Source organism: Homo sapiens, chromosome 5 (genome assembly GCF_000001405.40).
Source record: "Homo sapiens chromosome 5, GRCh38.p14 Primary Assembly".
Taxonomy (NCBI): domain Eukaryota; kingdom Metazoa; phylum Chordata; class Mammalia; order Primates; family Hominidae; genus Homo; species Homo sapiens.
In genome coordinates, this window is record NC_000005.10 from 167660585 (window position 1) to 167679118 (window position 18534).

The 18534-nt window shown below is 36.5% G+C and overlaps 1 protein-coding gene across 13 annotated transcripts in view; it reads left to right on the forward strand.

The window, feature by feature from the left end:
• The window catches only part of TENM2 (teneurin transmembrane protein 2), a 1285129-nt gene that overhangs the window by 681556 nt on the left and 585039 nt on the right, over positions 1-18534 (forward strand). The window lies entirely within an intron of this gene.

Consider the following 18534-nt stretch of genomic DNA (forward strand, 5'->3'; position numbering starts at 1 on the left):
ATGTATACTGACATATTAAAGGCTCTAAGAAGTCAGAAAAAAAAATGTCTTTAGCTTTATTTTTTCAAACTTTTTGCTGACAGTAACTTATCATTTTTTAAAGTCTAACACCTTGCATTGGCACTTGTATTTCTGGAAATGCATGTTCCGAAGTTCTGACCTAAGTAGTAACTAGTATCTAAAGGAAAGTACATTCTCCTGTCTGTATTACATATTTTATGTTCCTTAACATATTATATGTATCAGCCATATTTATTCATTCATCATTTATTCAGCAAGTATTTGAAGAACTTCTCTGTGCCAGTAGCTTGTGGGTGCTGGGGACTCATCTTTTTAAGAGCATATTTTTATTCTATTTTCAAAATGTATGAAAAACTTAGTTGTTAGTATAAATAACAAGTTATATGAAAAATAAAAGTATCACAGTGCATAGACTCAGCATTTTAAGTCAAGCATTCAGAAGAAATGCAAAATGGTAGATATTTTTCCTTAGATGCCATTAGGGCACGTTGCACTGAGCATGTACCTTATTTACTGTTGTGACTGTCCCTGGAATACTAACAATGATGCATTTAAATAGCTTATAGTTATGAGTTTTAGAATCAGAAGCAAATAAATTTGAAAGCATTAATTCCAGCCTCCTGCTTTAGCTGAATTTCTATTATCTAAACCAGCCCCTTCAAATGTTTTGAAAATCAGATCATATACAACATTTTATAAGCTTCCTATCTTGGAACGTGAATTTAGAATTCACACTCTGGCTCATTTTTCCAACTGTAAAGTGAGTGAGTTGGGTTAAGAAAATCTATTTTTAGAAGAAGTAGTAAGCATTGAAAAAGTTCACAGCAATTTCAAGCCATAGATTTGAATATTAGCACCTGGAAAATAGTAATTCTAATTCTCATTCTTACTTAGCTGGTGCCACTTGAGTGATGTCCCTGGAGCTGAAAGGGATTGCCAAGTTAATTTGGTCAAGTGGTTTTCACAAACTATACATCTTATTAATTATTCCTTTGATGGGCTGGTCTAAACCCAGTTCAAACTGACTTAAGTAAATAAGGACAACAGAAATAAGAATTAATAAATAAATACTAAAAAGTGATTTAGAAGATATTGTTTCACTTCACCTCCGAGCGCAGGGGTATAATTAGCTTCAGGCTTGCCTAGAGTCAGTGGTGCAAACCATGTCACTGATAGCTTAGGCATGTTTGTCTGTCTCCCTCTGGCTTAGATGGATCTCAAACAGGCCGTCTACTCACTGGTTCCCAGAAGCTGCAGGCTTGCATAATCCTTACAACTAGAAATTCAATAGAAAAAGCATTCACCTTCTTAGTTATCCTCAGGATTGACTCTCCTTGGGCTGCCCTGGTCTTATGCTTATGCTGCAACCAATCATTGTGGTCATGGGAATAGAAGGGCCTGATTGGCCAGGTTTGGAAGATGTTTCTATCTATGGAGTAGGCAGAGACTGATGATAAAGGATATAGAGTGGGGTGGGGTGGTTTTCCGCAAAGGAAATTAAGGTGCAGCCACCAAAAGAAGCTGATGCTTGGCAGACAAAATCAACAGGTGCCCATTGTATTTATTTTTTAAACGAGCATCCACACAGAACCATGAGGTACAAGGTAAACAAAAAGAGGAGATTCTTGCTAGATTGGGTATGGGGAGTTGGGGTGGAGAGAGACTCAGAGATCTGCTCATTCAGCCACATCTCACAGCTCTTGAGAGAAGCTGACCCCTTCCTCGTTTGCCTGGCATGATCTTGGTTTATGTGTGTTGTTCATTTTAATTACTGATAACACCCCGTTTTACTCTCAAAAGTGGCGTGGTTTGCTTAATAGATTTTATGGTTACTGGATCGTGGGGATTCTTTAAGCTTTATTAGTTAATTCACCCCAAACACTTGTAAAACTCTTGATCTACATCCACCAAGGCATCCACTTCCATAAATCAGACTTCTGTGTTTCATCTGAATAATATGAAACCTTGGAAGAGTTTAACTCATCATCTCCTCTCATTTTACTTGTTTCCCATGAAAATGAAACTTATTATCATTTGATGCAATTAATATTTGTTTTTATTTACCCACATTTAACAAATGTTTTGTTCACCATTGTTTCTTGAATATCAATCTTTTCCCTGGGATAAATTTTTACCTTTCTGAACCGTTCCTTTGGGAGTTTGCTACTCAAAGTGTGGTCTATGGACGAACACCACCATCAGCATCACCTGAGAGCTTATCAGAAATGCAGAACCTGAGGCTCACTAAGTCAGAGCCCATAGATCAACAAGATTCCCAGGAGTTCAGTAGACACAGTCAAGTTTGAGAAGCCCATTTTAGAACAGTGAACTTAACACAAGATGTTTTCATTTTCTATTCCATTTTGTCTCTGATTCTCTCATATTTTAACCTCTGTGTCTCTGTCTTCAATATTATGGATAAATTATATCTTATCTTTCATTGCTGTCTGCTCACTGTAGTCTCCTAGGTGGCTTAAAAACTAAGTACCAGTATACACATTTTTAGAGATAGAGAGACAGAGAGAATGGGGATGGGGAGAGAGAGAGAGAGAGAGAGAGAGAGAGAGAGAGAGAGAGAGAGAAAGAGAGAGAATGAATGCCTGGGCTCCTCCTCAGACCATCTAAATTAAAATCTGGGTAAGGACCACTACACCAAGAGCTCCTTTAGTTAGGATTTATTGGTGACATGCTCTCATTTTTCTGTTTGTCTAAAAAATACTTATGATTCATTATTGCATAATAGCCAGTTATACAATTCTAGGTTGCTATTTATTTTTCCTCAGTGTTTCAGAGATTGAAAAGAGTGTCTTTAATTTTTGTTGCTATCTGTTGAGAATAAACTCTTTTTCTCTGTAGGCAATCTGAGTTTTAAATTTCTGCTCAGTACTAAGATTCTTATTGTCTTCAATGTTATGCAGCTTTACTCCATTGTGACTAGATTTGTATTTCTTATTTCTTATTGTATCTAGGATTTTTTGCAGTTTCTAAATCTGAGGATTCAGATTACTGTCCCATCTTCTATACATTCTTTGCTATCTAGAATGTTAATTGGATTTGCACAAGATATTTTCATTTTCTATTCCATTTTGTCTCTTATTCTCTCATATTTTAATCTCTGTGTCTCTGTCTTCAGTATTATGGATAAATTATATCTTTCAATTCTAATCATTTAGTGAACATATATGCGTCAAATTTTTCTATTTCATGATTTTATTTTTTCACTTGAATGTCCATTTAGAACATATCACTTCTAGAAGTTCATTTTATAATCAGACTGGTTTTTCCTTGAGAGTGTCTTGCTCCTTGCTCAATTTGAAAATTCTTTAAAAAATATTCAAATATAGTTATAGGCTGAATCTCATAATTTCACTATCTAATGTTATTTTCTGTTGTTTCTGCTCAATACTGCTCATGAACACCTGTCTCTTGTTCATGTTGCAATTTGAGCGGAGAGTGAAGTTATGTTATCTGGAATTGATCTGTGGATATTTTGTGAGGCCTGAGTTGAGGGTGCATTCCATCCTTGTAGAGAAATTTGTGTTGACCTCTGCCAGGCTCTGTAAAGTACAACTGAGTCAAGACCACTTTGATTTCTTGTCTTGGGGTTTCCTGAAATATGCTGGTTATGTAAATTTCAAAGCCCCTTGGCCTGAGGATAGGCCTGCGATTATGTATTTTTCAGAAGAGATGTTTTCTCCTTCTAGAATTCAGCATTAGATAAACAAAATCCCCTTGCCTAGGTCTTAGTTGACTGTCAAAACTTTTTTCAGTACAATCTTTCCCTGAGGGGAAATGCCCAGCTGTCAATTATTCATTTTGTTAATGAGGAAAGTGAGGCTCAGAGTTCAACTTGCTGGGAGTCACACTCAGCCCCTGAAAGCAGAAATGAAAAGAGGGCCCAGATCTTCTCATCGTCCAGTTGTTTTCTCCTCCGACAAAACAAGCTACAGAAATAGCATCACCTTCTTCTAATAAGAATGGCTTCACCTTTGCCTCCAGTTGGACAAGTAACAGCAAGATTCAGTTATTCCTCATGGTTAAGTTTGATGAATTATAGAAATAGGTTACTTAGATATATTTTAAGAATCATAAGAACATAAAAAAGTCATATGAGCTAAGACTTATAGTCCCCACTATTCAGTATTTTGTCTTTTATAGTAGTACCAAGGGACATTGGTGTGACATGATGATAGTTGCCCTTTGTGATATTGTCCTCAAAGGGGGCATCCCTAACTGGGAAAGATCTATCATCCAAGAATTTCTCTAAAGCCTTCTTGAACTCTCATTACATTTTTGGTTTGTACAACCTTAAGGCACTGCTTTACAAGGAATTGATCTTATACTAGTCAGGACATGGGCTAAATAACCCTGAAGTCCTTTTAAAATATGATTTCAAGTATCATAAATCTTGTTGGATAATCACACTCTGCAAATGGAGGGAATACAGTAGAGTGATACTGAGCTCTGAAGTCAAACAGCCTATGTCCAAATACAGGCTTTATCCCTATGTCCTAACTGTGTGACCTTGGGCAGAATCTTTTACTCTTCTGAATCTCTGTTTCTTCTCCTGGACAAGGGCAGTGACTGTAGGATTATCATAAGGTTACTGGGAAAAATGAATACAATAATATACATAAAATTACTTAGCACAAGGCTTGGCATACAGTAAACAAATGAAAGTATTCTCAGTATTACCATTAGTGATATTGTCATTAGTGTCGGTAGATGTCATTAGTGTCATCCTGGTCACAGACCTCACCAAAAAAGTGGCTGCGATCCCATTTCATATGTTTTAAAACATCTGGAGGCTGAGGGCAGAAGAGGATATAAGAGACCAAAAAAAAAATGAATTATTATACTGTGAAAGAATTTTAAATTTTATGGATTCCAGTATGTACTAAATAAATCACAAACTTTTCAGGAAACAATTGTTAAAATATCTTTGGATGTGCTGTTGTGGGAGTGCTTCATATTGAAAAAGAGAGATATAAACTAACCAAGTAAATAAGGTTACTTGCGGTTCCATTCTGTATTTTACCCTTACATAAATTGACTCTGATATTTGGTCGCTGGGTTTCCTCAATTATTTTATTTTTGCCAAAAAACAAAACAAAAATAATGTGGCGTGTAATAGCTCTAATGTTAATAAAATTGAATGTTTATTTTTCCCCCTGGAAAGTGGCCTCTCCACTCTTTCTTAAATGTCCCATTCTGCCTCGACATTTACTTTGCACTAGTAACAACACTCAATTTTCATTGACATTATCTTCTAAATACAATCAGATCAAAAATCGCCAACATCATTCTCATTCCTCTCCTGCAAGCAGATAATACAAGACAGGGTCTAGCTGATAACTTCCACTTCAGTAACCTCTGATTCCACTACTTGAAATGCTTTGTGTGGTTTTCTACTAGACCAGAGGCAGAGGTATTTGTGTAAAACAGGCGATTCCCGTCAGCAAAGATGCAAGATGTGGCATTTGCCTTTAATTTCCTTTTGCTGGGTACAGGGACTCTGTGAATGGGCAGGTCCCTGAGGGTGACTTGTACCAACTGGAGCCTGTGCCAGCACGGACCTTCCCAGGCACACACTTAACATTTTTCCCCAGGGGCTTGTGCTTAAATCTGCAGGTTGAAAGGAACTGAAGTGAAACTTCTAAGAAATGGTGGTGAGCATTTAGGATGTTCTAACTCAGTTCACATAAGTGTTGATGTGTTCTGTGACAGTCTCAACCCCAAACGAAGTGCACTCATGTTTACTGGCAAAATTGGGAATAGTTTTTCAAAAATTTACCATACGAGTAAACTTCCCAGTTTACTTAAGCTCTCCAAGCCTCAGTTGCTTCATCTGCAGAATGGAAACAAACATTAATTATGATATTGAATAAAAACATTACATTATTACATGTGCTAAGTTAAAAAATCTCAAAATTACTAATATTAAATATTAATATTTTTAGAATTATTTGAGAGTTGGCTGAGATCACTCAAGGACAGTACTTAGAGGGCCTGGCATATTTACATGTACTCTTCATATATTACTAGCTTTTCATAGTAGTAATCCTAATGTAAGCCTATGCTAGGTTTCTTTTCACAAATGGTCTGAAATATTCATTCTTCTGTATCTGGAAAGCAAAGTGGCCTACTGAAGACATTATATAAATTCAGTCCAAATGCTATTTGCACTTGATATGCCCAGATGTTTGAGGTGGAAAAAACATATTGAATTATCTGGATACTTCCTTAATTTGGGGGAGAATAAATTTCCTATGTTGGATTTTTGAATACATTTAAGGTGCTCAACCATCCAGGTTTGCCTGAGACTGAAAGGGGTTTCTGGGATATGGCACTTCTCAGCAATATAACTAGGACAATCCTAGGCAAACTTTATGAGTTACCTTATACATTATAGCTCCCTGTAAATAATGTAAGACACTCAAATATGATGAACTTTTAAAAATACACAGGTCTTTTGTCAATGCAAAAAAATTCTTTGGTGGAGAAGGAGAGAGCTGTATCCTTACATCTGCTTTCAGTTGCAAAAATAGCTCAATACTGAACTAAAACTGGCTTAAGAATAAGGCCCTTGAGTCTGGAGGTGGATAGTTTCTGGCTTGGTTCAATAGTTCACAATGCCTTTGAGGACTAAAGAATCTCTGTATTGGTGTTGGCCGTATTTGCCCTTGAAGTTTCATTAGGCTTCATCTTCAAGCACCTCTCTCTGCCACAGTGACACCCAAACCAGGAAAGGCAAGTCAGGGGAGAATCTACCTCCAGCATCTCTCTTTTTTCATCAGGGACTAAAATTATTCTAAGAATCACTCAAATTTCTCTCATGCTTTATTAGACAAAGCCGAGTCATCAGTCCACCCATCAGTCAATCAACCAAGTGCATGGAATTATTAGATATTTAGACAAACCATAGGTCATCCTCTGGTCTAAGAGAGGGACACAGCTTCTCTGAGCACCTGTTAATATGAACAAAAATGAGATTTGGCCAGGAAAGAAGGAGGGAGGTTGGAGAAACAACTGCTGTCTACTGAGCAGACAAACAGTATCTGCCATGGGCAGTGGAGAGGAGACAGTCGTCTCACTAATGTCCACTCCTGTTCTTTAGGCAGCCATGTATGTCGCTGATAAGAGGGCTTCTTGCTGTTGATTTCCCAGGTGCCTGGGTATAATGGGAATAGGGCAGATGTGCCACCTTCTATTGAATGGCGTGTGTTGTGAAGGCCAGGGAATTCACATGAAACTTCTACATATCTCAGTTTCTCTGTCTGAGCACTTAAGATATGGCCAGCAGCCTCCTAAACCAGAAGAGGCATCTAACCAAGGAAAACACAGTAAAGAACTCTTCATTTTGAAGTTTGTTTCTTGCCTGCAAATCAAATAAGATATTGATCTTTCATCTCAGGAGAAAGTCTTTCATTGGCCCTTGATGGCACAATTCTCATAACAAAGTCCCCAACAAAGAAAATATAATCTGGTGTTCTCACCTTTGAAAATCTCCTCCACTCCCCAAGTTGCTCCCTCTAAGTGAGCTGAATGTGTATACTCTACCCTCTTTCCTGGGGCTGCTTCGTTTATTTAAGGATGAGAGTTCAAGGTCACTGAAGAAAATCTTTCTCAGCTCCACCAAGAGTCCCCTTATGAAGAAACAGAAATCTAGCTCTTGTGTAAATGATCAAATCCTTGTTTAACAGAGACTTACCTTGTGATATCAAGGTTTGTTGTCTGATTTATACTGCTTATGACTCCTGTGAGGGTGTTATGAGGTTTCATGAACTAATGATTATGGAGTTTAATATTTTTTAAAAACGTTCCACAAATGTTAAATGCTATTACTCCTTGGGTCACTCCCTGTTTGCATTTAATATAACTTCCTGCATCATTCATACGCTGTAATGGAGAAGCAGATTCCAGGGACATTCCCTGGCTACTTAGGAATCAACAGATACCAGTGCAGCATAAGGTTTAATTTTCCTTTTTGCTTTTAAATGATTCCTAAAACCGTTCTGAGAGACCATGAATGAGAATGATGTGGAAATTTCTGATAGTAAAGGCTTATTGTAAGCACAGTGGCTCAAAACTGTAATCCCAGAACTTTGGGAGGCCAAGGCGGGCAGATCGCTTGAGTTTAGGAGTTCTAAACCAGCCTGGGCAACATGGTGAAACCTCATCTCTATAAAAATACAAAAATTAGCTGGGTGTGGTGGTGCACCCCTGTAGTCCCAGCTACTTGTAAGGCTGAGGCCGGAGAATCACTTGAACCCAGGAGGCAGAGGTTGCAGTGAGCCGAGATCCCCCACTGAACTTCAGCCTGAGTGACGGGAGTGAAACCTTGTCTCAAAAATAAATAAATAAATAAAATATTTGAACAGAAGTCGAAGAATAAATTAACTGCAGAAGGTGCGCCATTTTAACTGAGCACACACTTGGCATAACAATAAGCTGATTCTTTTATTTGGAATTTCCAAAACGAACTTTAAAAATAAAAGAGGAGGAGCATTTCTAAGGAATGCAGTATGACTTTGGTGGGCTCACGGTTCTCAGTGTTTACATGCATCCTTGAATGTGCTGCTTTATACATTTCTCTAGCAGTTTGTGGTTTGTGTTTGTGTTCAGATGTGCAAGGATAATAGATATGGGAAAAAGAGTGATGCATTTTAAAATTATACCGTTTGTAGATTGTGGAGAAAGTTCTTAATAAGAAGTAAAAAATTAGAAAATGTTCATTTAATTGATTTGGTGTATATAGTTTTGTTCAAAATAAATGTGTGAACATGTCTTGCTCAAGAAAAGCAGCATTTAAGAGGGAAACTCATCAGACTGATGGTTCTATCCGTTGAAGACAGTTAAGATGGAGGAAGCGTAAAGAAAAAGAAAAACACAAATTAGTATGAGCACAAAGAATGAGCTTAAACAAAGCTATGATTCTCTCATTCACAAATATTATATATTGTGCTTTTTTTTTTCTGATATCCCCCCCTTGGCTCCTGCTTCTCATTCCTGTAAACAGCAGTGACACATCACACCTGCTGAACTTTTTCACCTCCAACTCCAAATTAGAGGAAAGTTGGCTTCATACTGATTGTACTTTACTGGGGACAGACGGCAGGGTGGCAGATGGGGGAGGGAGTGCCTGTAATTAAGCAAAACGGTTTAAAGTGTAGCTTTCTTAGACAAACCGTGGTTGTAAGTTATAGCTGCTCTTTACTTGCTAATAATTGCAAAATCTATTGCTGCCACTTTTGAGGTTTTTTTTTTTAAATAAAAGACTATTAAAATGGAATAAAAGCTTAATAAGTAGATTAGTTAGAACAATAGTCCTCATGAGAATGTTTTGATTCTGAGTATAGCTGCTAAAGATAACCCTAAATGCAATCAGGTTTAGCTCCCTGCATGTGTGAAAGGAAGGTAATACCCTCAGAGATTTTGCCAACAGATGACATTATTTTTTAAGTATCTCTTTCTACATTTAAATTAGTCTTTCCTCTGGGCACCTGCAACAAAACCTTTGTTAAGAATCACCAGAGAAACAGAGCTCTGAATAAATGCTCAGTGGAAAATTATTTTTGAGAATTTGGTTTTAGATGTTTCACATCAAAAAGATGGATGGCAATGCATCCAAGAGGGAGCGCTTTGTGATCCTTCTCTGTCCTCTTTGAAATTTTAAGGATCAAAACTCCCAAGGTGTCCAGAGATAAGTACAAAGGGAGCCCTGCAATTTTACTAAACATATACACATTATAAAGCGCAATGTGATCCAATGTCAATGAAAGTGTGTCCATATCCTGTCCTTTTTGTTTTATTTTATTAATTTCATTCCTTTGGCCAGATATTTATTCTCTCTCTGTCTCTCTCTCTAATTCTCTCCCCCTCTCTCTCATCACATTTTTTTTTCTGTGCACTGAAAGACCTGTATGAGACTCAGGAAACAATCATTCACAGACTTGATCATTCAAATTGCAATGAACGTTACTACTCAAGAGTGTTCTTCAGACAGGATGGCACAGACGATACTGAGAGTCTTCATTACCTCCTGGGACATGCACGTTCACAGTGAGCCTGACTTCCACTTCCTGTCTCTATCCTTCCACTTTTTTCCTTGGAAGGTATTTTCTTTTAGATTTTCCTATGTCAGTGCCCTCTAGATTACACATGCTGTTTTCAACAGCCTGCTGGGCAAATCTATCAGGTTCCAAAGAAGTAGTCTGTTTTGCATTCCTCCTTGCCATTTTTCCTTCCCCATTCAGTTCATCCTTGCTTCTTTTTTGCATCCCAAGCCATTGCATTTACTCAGCTCTGTAGGAGAGACTGGGAAACCCTGGCACTATCCCAAGTATGTAGTTTATGAAGTCCCCTGTCACCAAATTAATTAAAGGGACTCTTTCATTTGCCTGTCTACACCCACCCAAATATGACAATAAATGTGTAATCTTGTGACTTGTTTCTTTTTTCCCCACCATTTGAATTCAGCCTTAGACTCATAGTTGTTGAAGTATAGAGGATATAGAAGAAAGGCATCATTAATATGATTTGGTCTGACACACACCTACCCCACCCCATAGTTCCGTAGCAGTGCTTTATGAGGATAATGTGAATTAAAATGAAGTTTATGTTGAGACTATTTTGCTGTTGTATAATAGCCCTGACATAAATGGAGAAGCATTTGAGAGTCCCATCAGCCAAGGAGTAAGCTCATATTTATTTAGCATAGTCATAAAACAGGTTAGGTATCAGTCACTCACACTATTATTTTGAACAGTAGAATTTTATAACCTGATGTTTTAACATTTTTCTCGGGCATAGCTGAAGTCAGAGTCATCTGGAGACTTTATTGAACTACACAGACTGGGCCCCACTGCAAGACTCATCGACAGCTTGAGTAAGGCCCAAGCTGGTAGATATTTTTAGTTTCCCAAGTGATTTGACATCGAGTTAGGCATAAGAACCATGAAACCAGACTTATACAAATAAATATTGTATTTTATAGTGATCTATTATGTATGTCTTTATGAATAAGTGTGTGTCTATTATAAATATCCATTTATCACCATGTCATGTTAATCCCTTTAGAACACCTATAATATAGGTATATTCTACGTAAATAAAATCTTTAGCTACAGATATATATATATTTATAGCTACAGATTATATATATATATTATATATTTATATATCTCCAGAAATATAGAATAGGCACAGATATTTTCCTAACAATTATACACAATTCCTGAATGATACATTCTGCTTGTAATATGGAAGTTATGAATTCTCTGGGCTATAAACATTTCAATAGTCATAGTAATGATCTTTTATGGAACTCATTCTATGTGCACTGTGCTGGGATAAATGTTTTTCCTGCATTATCTCACTTAATCCTCACAACAAACCTGTGAAACTAGTGCTTGCATTTCTGCTCTAATGTAATATATGCATTCTTTAAAAATCTTGCAATGTGCAAAATTATGCAGTGAAAACAAACCAAGATGATTTATAGTAAATCTGTGTTAGAGCAGACCATTCAAAACCTATACAAACTGGTAACTAGGGCATCAACAAAACAAAAGACAATTTCATAAAATAACAAAAGACAATTTTATAAAATAACACACTGACAGAGTATCATAAATGTCTGATTCATTTGTGTTTGTGTGTATATGTATATATACACACACATATATATACACACATATATATACCTTTATTTTATAAATATATGTACCTTTAATAAAAAAGATAGATTGATTAGAACCTGATTTAATATATAACATTAATGAAATAAAGATAAATTGATTAGAACCTGATTTAATATAGATTCACTCCCCTTGACATAAAACTGAGATCCATGCCTGTGGCCTTCTGGTGATCTAACCTCAAGTACTAGAGGGGTGAATGGATCACATACATACCCCACAGGCAAGTTTCCTAACCCATCATTCCTCTTAGGCTTTCAGTAGAAGCTTAGAATCAAATAATCTTATGTGATACTCTCTGAAGAAGGTTTGGCATTGCAATATATTCCACTGGTTATTTAAAATAGATCTGTGCGATCTGAAAATCAAACTGGGTGTTAACGCGGTGGATTCCTAAATGAAAGTTTACTTTAAAAGATGTAAGTTCAGGTGTTCACGCAGGCACCTATTTCTCTCAGAAGAGGACTTTTGACAAAAGATTGACCCAAGGACAAAAGAACAAGAGTGGTGTGACAAATCATTCCAACAGAAAAACTTTGCTAAGGATAGCTAATGAAAAGTAAGCCAAAAATTAGTTCTACTCTTCTACCCTCTCTGTCAGGCAAAGCAAAAAAAAAAAAAAAAGATGATTTCTCGAACTCTTAATAGCTCATAAGAGGAGCCATGCCAGTTTCTCTGGAGATACCAGCCCAACCTACCCTCCAACCCCCAAAACACACCCAGAATTCCAAAAGATTCCAATATCTTTAAGGCTTTGTATAAAAAGCATTAAACAATCATGTCTGTTATGGCTGATAGCAGTGCTACCAATGTGTAGATGCCACTTATTATATGGCCATTTCTATACACGTACCTGTAGGTAAGACTCCATAAAGTAATTTAAATTATATTTTATTATTTAAAATCTTTCAGGTTTGGGGCGATGGAAAATGTCTGCTGTGTATTGTTCAGTATTGTTTCAATTTTTGCAATGTGTATATACTGTTTCAATAATCATAACAATAATAAAATGATTCTAATTTTAGCATAAAAGATGGTTCCCATTAACACCGTTTTGACCTGACCCCTATGCCAAAATAAGTTTGCTCAGTACTCAGTGAGAAGGATGCTGGTCCTCTTAGTTGTCCAATGGGGAAGTTCTCTGAAACATCATTTGTCTCTACTAAAGCCCTTGACATTTGTTCCTTCAACTAAGATGCATAGAACATCCACTATGTAAACTATATGTCAAGTACTTGAGAATGTGATGGCCAGGTTCAGTATTTAGCATACCAAATGCTTGTAGTAGCATAGGAGGATAATAGTCTGTGATTGAAAAGAAAATCCAAATCACTGCTCAAATACTCACTTTCAGGCTGGTGGTCTCAGAAAAGGGGGTCAAGTTTAGAGACCCCAATTGAATCTACAGCTTCTATTAAATTTGAACCCTAGGGACACCTTTTCTCCAATACCTTATTTTTTTTTTTGAGTGTAGAACAATTCATATTATATACACCCTTCTATTGACCTGTCTATTTGAACCCTGCAGGCACTTGACAACTAATGAATAAAATAATATTGTGTGCTCTTGGGGCTACTGCAGACTCTTTTGTGTCTATAACGGCTCTTATTTTTCCAGCAACTGGGAGAGGATACAACATGGTGAGAGGCTGTGTAGAATAACTGAGATAGCATGGGCTAAACCCCAGGGGCACTAATGACATTGTATCCACAGAGCAAAATTTGAATGTTCTGTAATGATGTCATTAAACTCCTGAAAAAGCTAACTTATTGCTGACTAGAATTTCTCCATTACATTCTCTTTAAAAGAGGAATAAACTCCAGGGTGTGTAGCTATGCATGGGTGTTGACGTTGAATAGCTGCCTCCAGTCACTCTGCTGAAACTGGCTGACCTTCTTGCGTGCAGTTTAGTCAACTCAGCTGCCCTTTCAATGAAGACAAATGAATTTCCAGGATTATGCAGGTCAGGTCACCTTAGGTCAAAAACTGATTATACAGTCATGCCATCACCTTTGTTCTACCTGGGTATCTTTGAACGTTTATTCTTTAGGTGCTCACCTTTGATTTGGTGCCCCCAAAATGTTTATTCCTGTAAAAGTACATATGCAAGTCAAATACAGAAACCCATAACTGATGCCTCTAACAAATTCACATTTTTTCCCATGGAGGCAGATATGCAAAACTGACAGTCAAAAGCATTTATTTGAAAGGCAGAATTGCAGTAAAGGAAAATAATAATAATTTTTAACAGACATTAAAAATTCGAGACCAAGTTTCTACTGCTTATAACTTGCCTTGGACAAGTTATATCATCTCCGTGTGTCTCAATTTCCTCACCTGTCAAGTGGGGGCATTAATAGCACCCCCCTCTTGGGGTGGATCAAGTGAGATAAAGATTTAAAGTACTTAGTAAGTATTCAGAATGTGGATCGTGCAAGAGTAACTGTACGTGAACTTTTATCAGAGGAGCATTAGTTAACAGAAATGTTATCTTTCTAAAGCCAGAATTTAGGTTGTGTTTCTATACTAGCTGGTCACATTGTCAGCATTGAAGCTTTTATAAATGTCTTCTAGCAAATCACCACAATTTTTACATTGTTGGGCTCTGCTGAGCTCTAGCCCCAGACAACTCCAAATTTGCATTTCTCACTTTTGCCTTCTTCATTTCACTGTCTCAAAAAACAAATGCAAGAAAGTAAATCTTCAACTTAGAACACCCATTCTGTCAAACTGATGTGCTGTCTGATGAATGGTGAGAAAAAAAGAAACACATCACCCCAGGAATATGTAAGCTCTCCAAAAATATCAAGTAAGCCCAATGCCAATATAATATAATGAGAGTTTGTAAGTGCTTATAGTCTAATGAAATTGGCATGGTTTATTAATGGGCTGTGCCTCCTTTGAATTTGGAAGACAAAATGTCTTGTTTCCTGTGATTTGGTGTGATACACAAAGACTTTTGATATCTGCTGATATTTAAATGAACCCAAGGATGTAGAATTCGATAGTAAATTGTCACTTGAAATTCTCAAGAAGAGAATCTATTTTCAGATAACAGTGATCCTCTGCTTCCATTAATAATCTTGGGCTCTCTAAAATTATATGAACCCACAGTACATTTTTGTACCATGTGGCTGATGCACACCTTGAAAGGCTATGTCTGAGTGTTCAACGACTTGTTATTGCTATGTTCACGTGTCACCAGGACTGCCTGGCTTTAATCAAAGCATCCCTGGGGTCATTTGAAAACAACTATTTACAGAAACTTTGGACATTTTCTTGACCACATGATTTAATGACTTTATATGGGAGGTAGTCTTGCACAGTGGATAAGGAGGTTAGAATCCCAGCTCTGCTACTTAAAATTTGGTGGCTTTATTTCAGGGTCTGTATCTTTCTATCAACATAGTGGGAAAAATAATAGTACCTAGCTCAAAGGGAGTAAATGAGATCTGGTACACGTCCAGAATGAAAACAGAAGCAATTGTTATGTTAAGTCAGAGAGTCGCATTTTCATGTAGACAGTACCACAAAAATATTGTTAGATCCAAATAATAACACAGTAAATTTATCTTCCCTCCATTTTCCCATGTTATCCCAGTTACTGTACACTGCTCAGGTTGCTTGGGTAGTACATGAATGTCAAAGATCAGTCTGACTTTCAAAACCTTAGGAAAATTTACCTACCCCATGAAGCCTGACAATGACCTAGAACAGACAACATGAACTCTCAAGCCCATTCAAGGAGCCATATTATCTAAGCCCTGGATCACTGTAACAACTCCTTATTTACACAGCACATTCATTCCACACATGGTCAAATTTTCCAGAATATGGATGTCATAGGTGTCATTGTTTTAGAGGCAGGTCCATGCTATTAATCTTTGATTATTAGTATATTTTTCTACCTCTGCTATTTTCAACTTATACTGCAGCCTGTTTCTTTACACAGATTTTTTTTGCTTTGAAATTAACTACCTTTATCTCACTCATTAGTCCCCTTCTTTACTCATTCTTCTTCATCCATCGCTAAACAATTATCCCATAAACCAGCTGTCAAAACGCAAGATGTGGTTCCCGGTTTAATTGGGAACATACAGTCTGGGTGAAAAGGGAAAACTCAATGCACCTGCTCTTTATTCTTATTTCTAATGTCTGGTACTCAAGAGTACTTTGACAAATCAGAAAATGAACTTGAAAATGTGTACAAAGCAATATGGCAAGTATAAAGCTATCCTGTCACACATAGAATATATACATTTGTGTCTGCCCCAGAGAAGAGTGATCACGGTTAAGGGGTTTCATTCACAGAAAGAAGACTTCCTGGAGAAAGAGTGTGTGTGTCTGTTTCAGAAGCTGAAAAGGCTGCTTTGGGATGATAGTTTTTATGCAAAGTGACTGCTACCTGCTGCTTTATTCTGCATTCATCTCTTATAAATAATATGTTTTTAATAAGCCACTGTATCTTTTGTTGGAACAATGCTTCCTAGAATTAAACACACATTTCCCTCACTTTCAAAACGCCCTTGAAAACGTTGTGATTATACTGGGTCTTTCTTTGTGACTCTTATGTGTTTTGTCATCAAGAAAAAGTCAAGCTAATTGAACTATATGAGGACAGTGCACCTGAAAATGACCTCCTGAAGTCAGCTGCTGTCTATAGGTAATTCTCTCAACTAAATGTATGCATGTTGGACAATAAGGGCACAAGGTGGTCAGTGGCCTTTCCCTCTGCGCTCCATGCAGACTATTCCATCTGCCTTTCCACATGTGGAGGACAAAGGAATGTCATCAAGTCTCTTTCTCAGTTCCTAGTCTAACAGCGAACCCTTGTTTAATAATATCCCAGTGTTTCTAGTTACCCCAAGAGAATAATATAACCTGAAATGATTCCCTAAACACAGCTTATTTTAATTATTCCTAATGATAAGCAAAATTTTACCAAACGATTCTTTAAAGCAAAGAATCACATTTGCTTTGAATATGTTATTATGCATATTGCTTGTCACACCACACATAAAGATCTTCTTTACAAAGATCTGCAAGGAAACATTTCTTATGACAGTACTGGAATAGATGAGGTAGAGAACAACTGCTTTTTTTTTTTCTTTTTAAGACATTATAATTTGTTAGAACTTTTTGGTTTCTCTTGGTTGGTAGGCAAATCAGAGCAAAAGGTTTGCTGTGATTGCTGTCTTCCATCAAAATCTGTCAGAATACATTATGGCATGTATTCTGTGTACTAACCTTACCTATTTTTTTATTTTTCAACTTTTATTCACCACCCAAAAAGCATCATCATTTTGTAAAATCTTGCTTTCAACATAGATTTCTATAGGAAGTATCAAGTGGTTTTGGCGACCATTTAGTTCCAAAATATGGTTTATATATTTTAATGATATTTATATATGATAATTATATGTTTATATACTTATTATATATTTATATATGATAATTACAGAAAATACTATAAACCTATTTATTAAAATACCAGAGATTCTAAGATAAGTTTGAATAGAATGTGGTTCAAATTATTAATTTCTCTTCCCCAAATTTAACAGATCCAAGCTACTATACTATTTATAATGTAGAAGAACTAGAAATAGTCTAAAAGTTAATCAATAGGCAATTGGTTAAATATTGATATGTTGATGTAATAAAATAATATGTGACTGCTAAAATCATGATATAGAATAATACTTAAAGACATGGAATTATATTTGTGGTATATTGTAATTTAAAATGACAGGTCACAGAGTAGTCTATGACTGTTTCTGTTATGCACAAGAATAGATTTTAATACATATGCAAACACATGCAGAAAAGATTAAAAATATCTGCCATAAAATTATGACTGTCTCTAGATAATGGAATTACAGGTGATTTTTCTATTTATTTTATTTTTGTGATTTTTATTTTGTATTTCCTAATTCTCTACGATTAACATATGTTATATTTGTAATCAGGGAAAAGTAAATGTCTGAAAAAGCAAGATACGAAACACTTCTTGTTATCACGTATAACAGATTAGTTCTTCCTTTTAAAATAAGCCATTAAAAAGGATTCTTATATACTCAATGCAGGGCGTTTTTTACTTCAGTGGCAATGGTATATAGTGCCTGAAGATTGGTAAAAATAGCTAATAAGCAGATTCTGTGCACAGATTTATCCTTTTCTTCCCTCTGTCCTCCCACCGGAGTCTGTGTTTCTGTCACAGCACTTGTTACTTAAAAGTCCAGTTATTTGCTTATTATCCTTTGATTCCAGCCCCAGCCACCCATTAGACTGCATCTCATTTGAGGGCAAAGATGAATCACATTTTTTTAGGCATTCCATAAATGTTTGTGGAGTGAGTGAGTGTGTGGCTGAGTGAAAGTAAAAAAAGAAGAAACCCTTGGTGCCAATCAGGCCAGAATAGCAGCAGACAAGACGCCTTCTCTCACAGCCAATTTTCTTGGCTGACTTTGTCAGTATAATTGCTTCAAATCCGTATTTTCTCTACCTATCTAGCTCCAGCCTAAATGTTGAATATTGTATTTTCCCTCAAAGAATGTCAATAAAGATTTTATTTTTTTCAATTACTGTTGCAGAGAATGTTTCCCTTTAGGAAAACTAAAATTTAATAACTTTTCTTCGGCAAAGTTGACGATCTCTTTATTCTCGCCATGATGACTGTAGTCAATCAGGAGTCAGTTGGAAGCCAAGCTGAACATAAAGTAATTAAAAGAAAACCCAAACACAAATGCACCCTCTTGAAAACCTAATCACATTATGAGCTCTAAGCATGAGTTATGAGGTAGCTGTGGCTGGCTG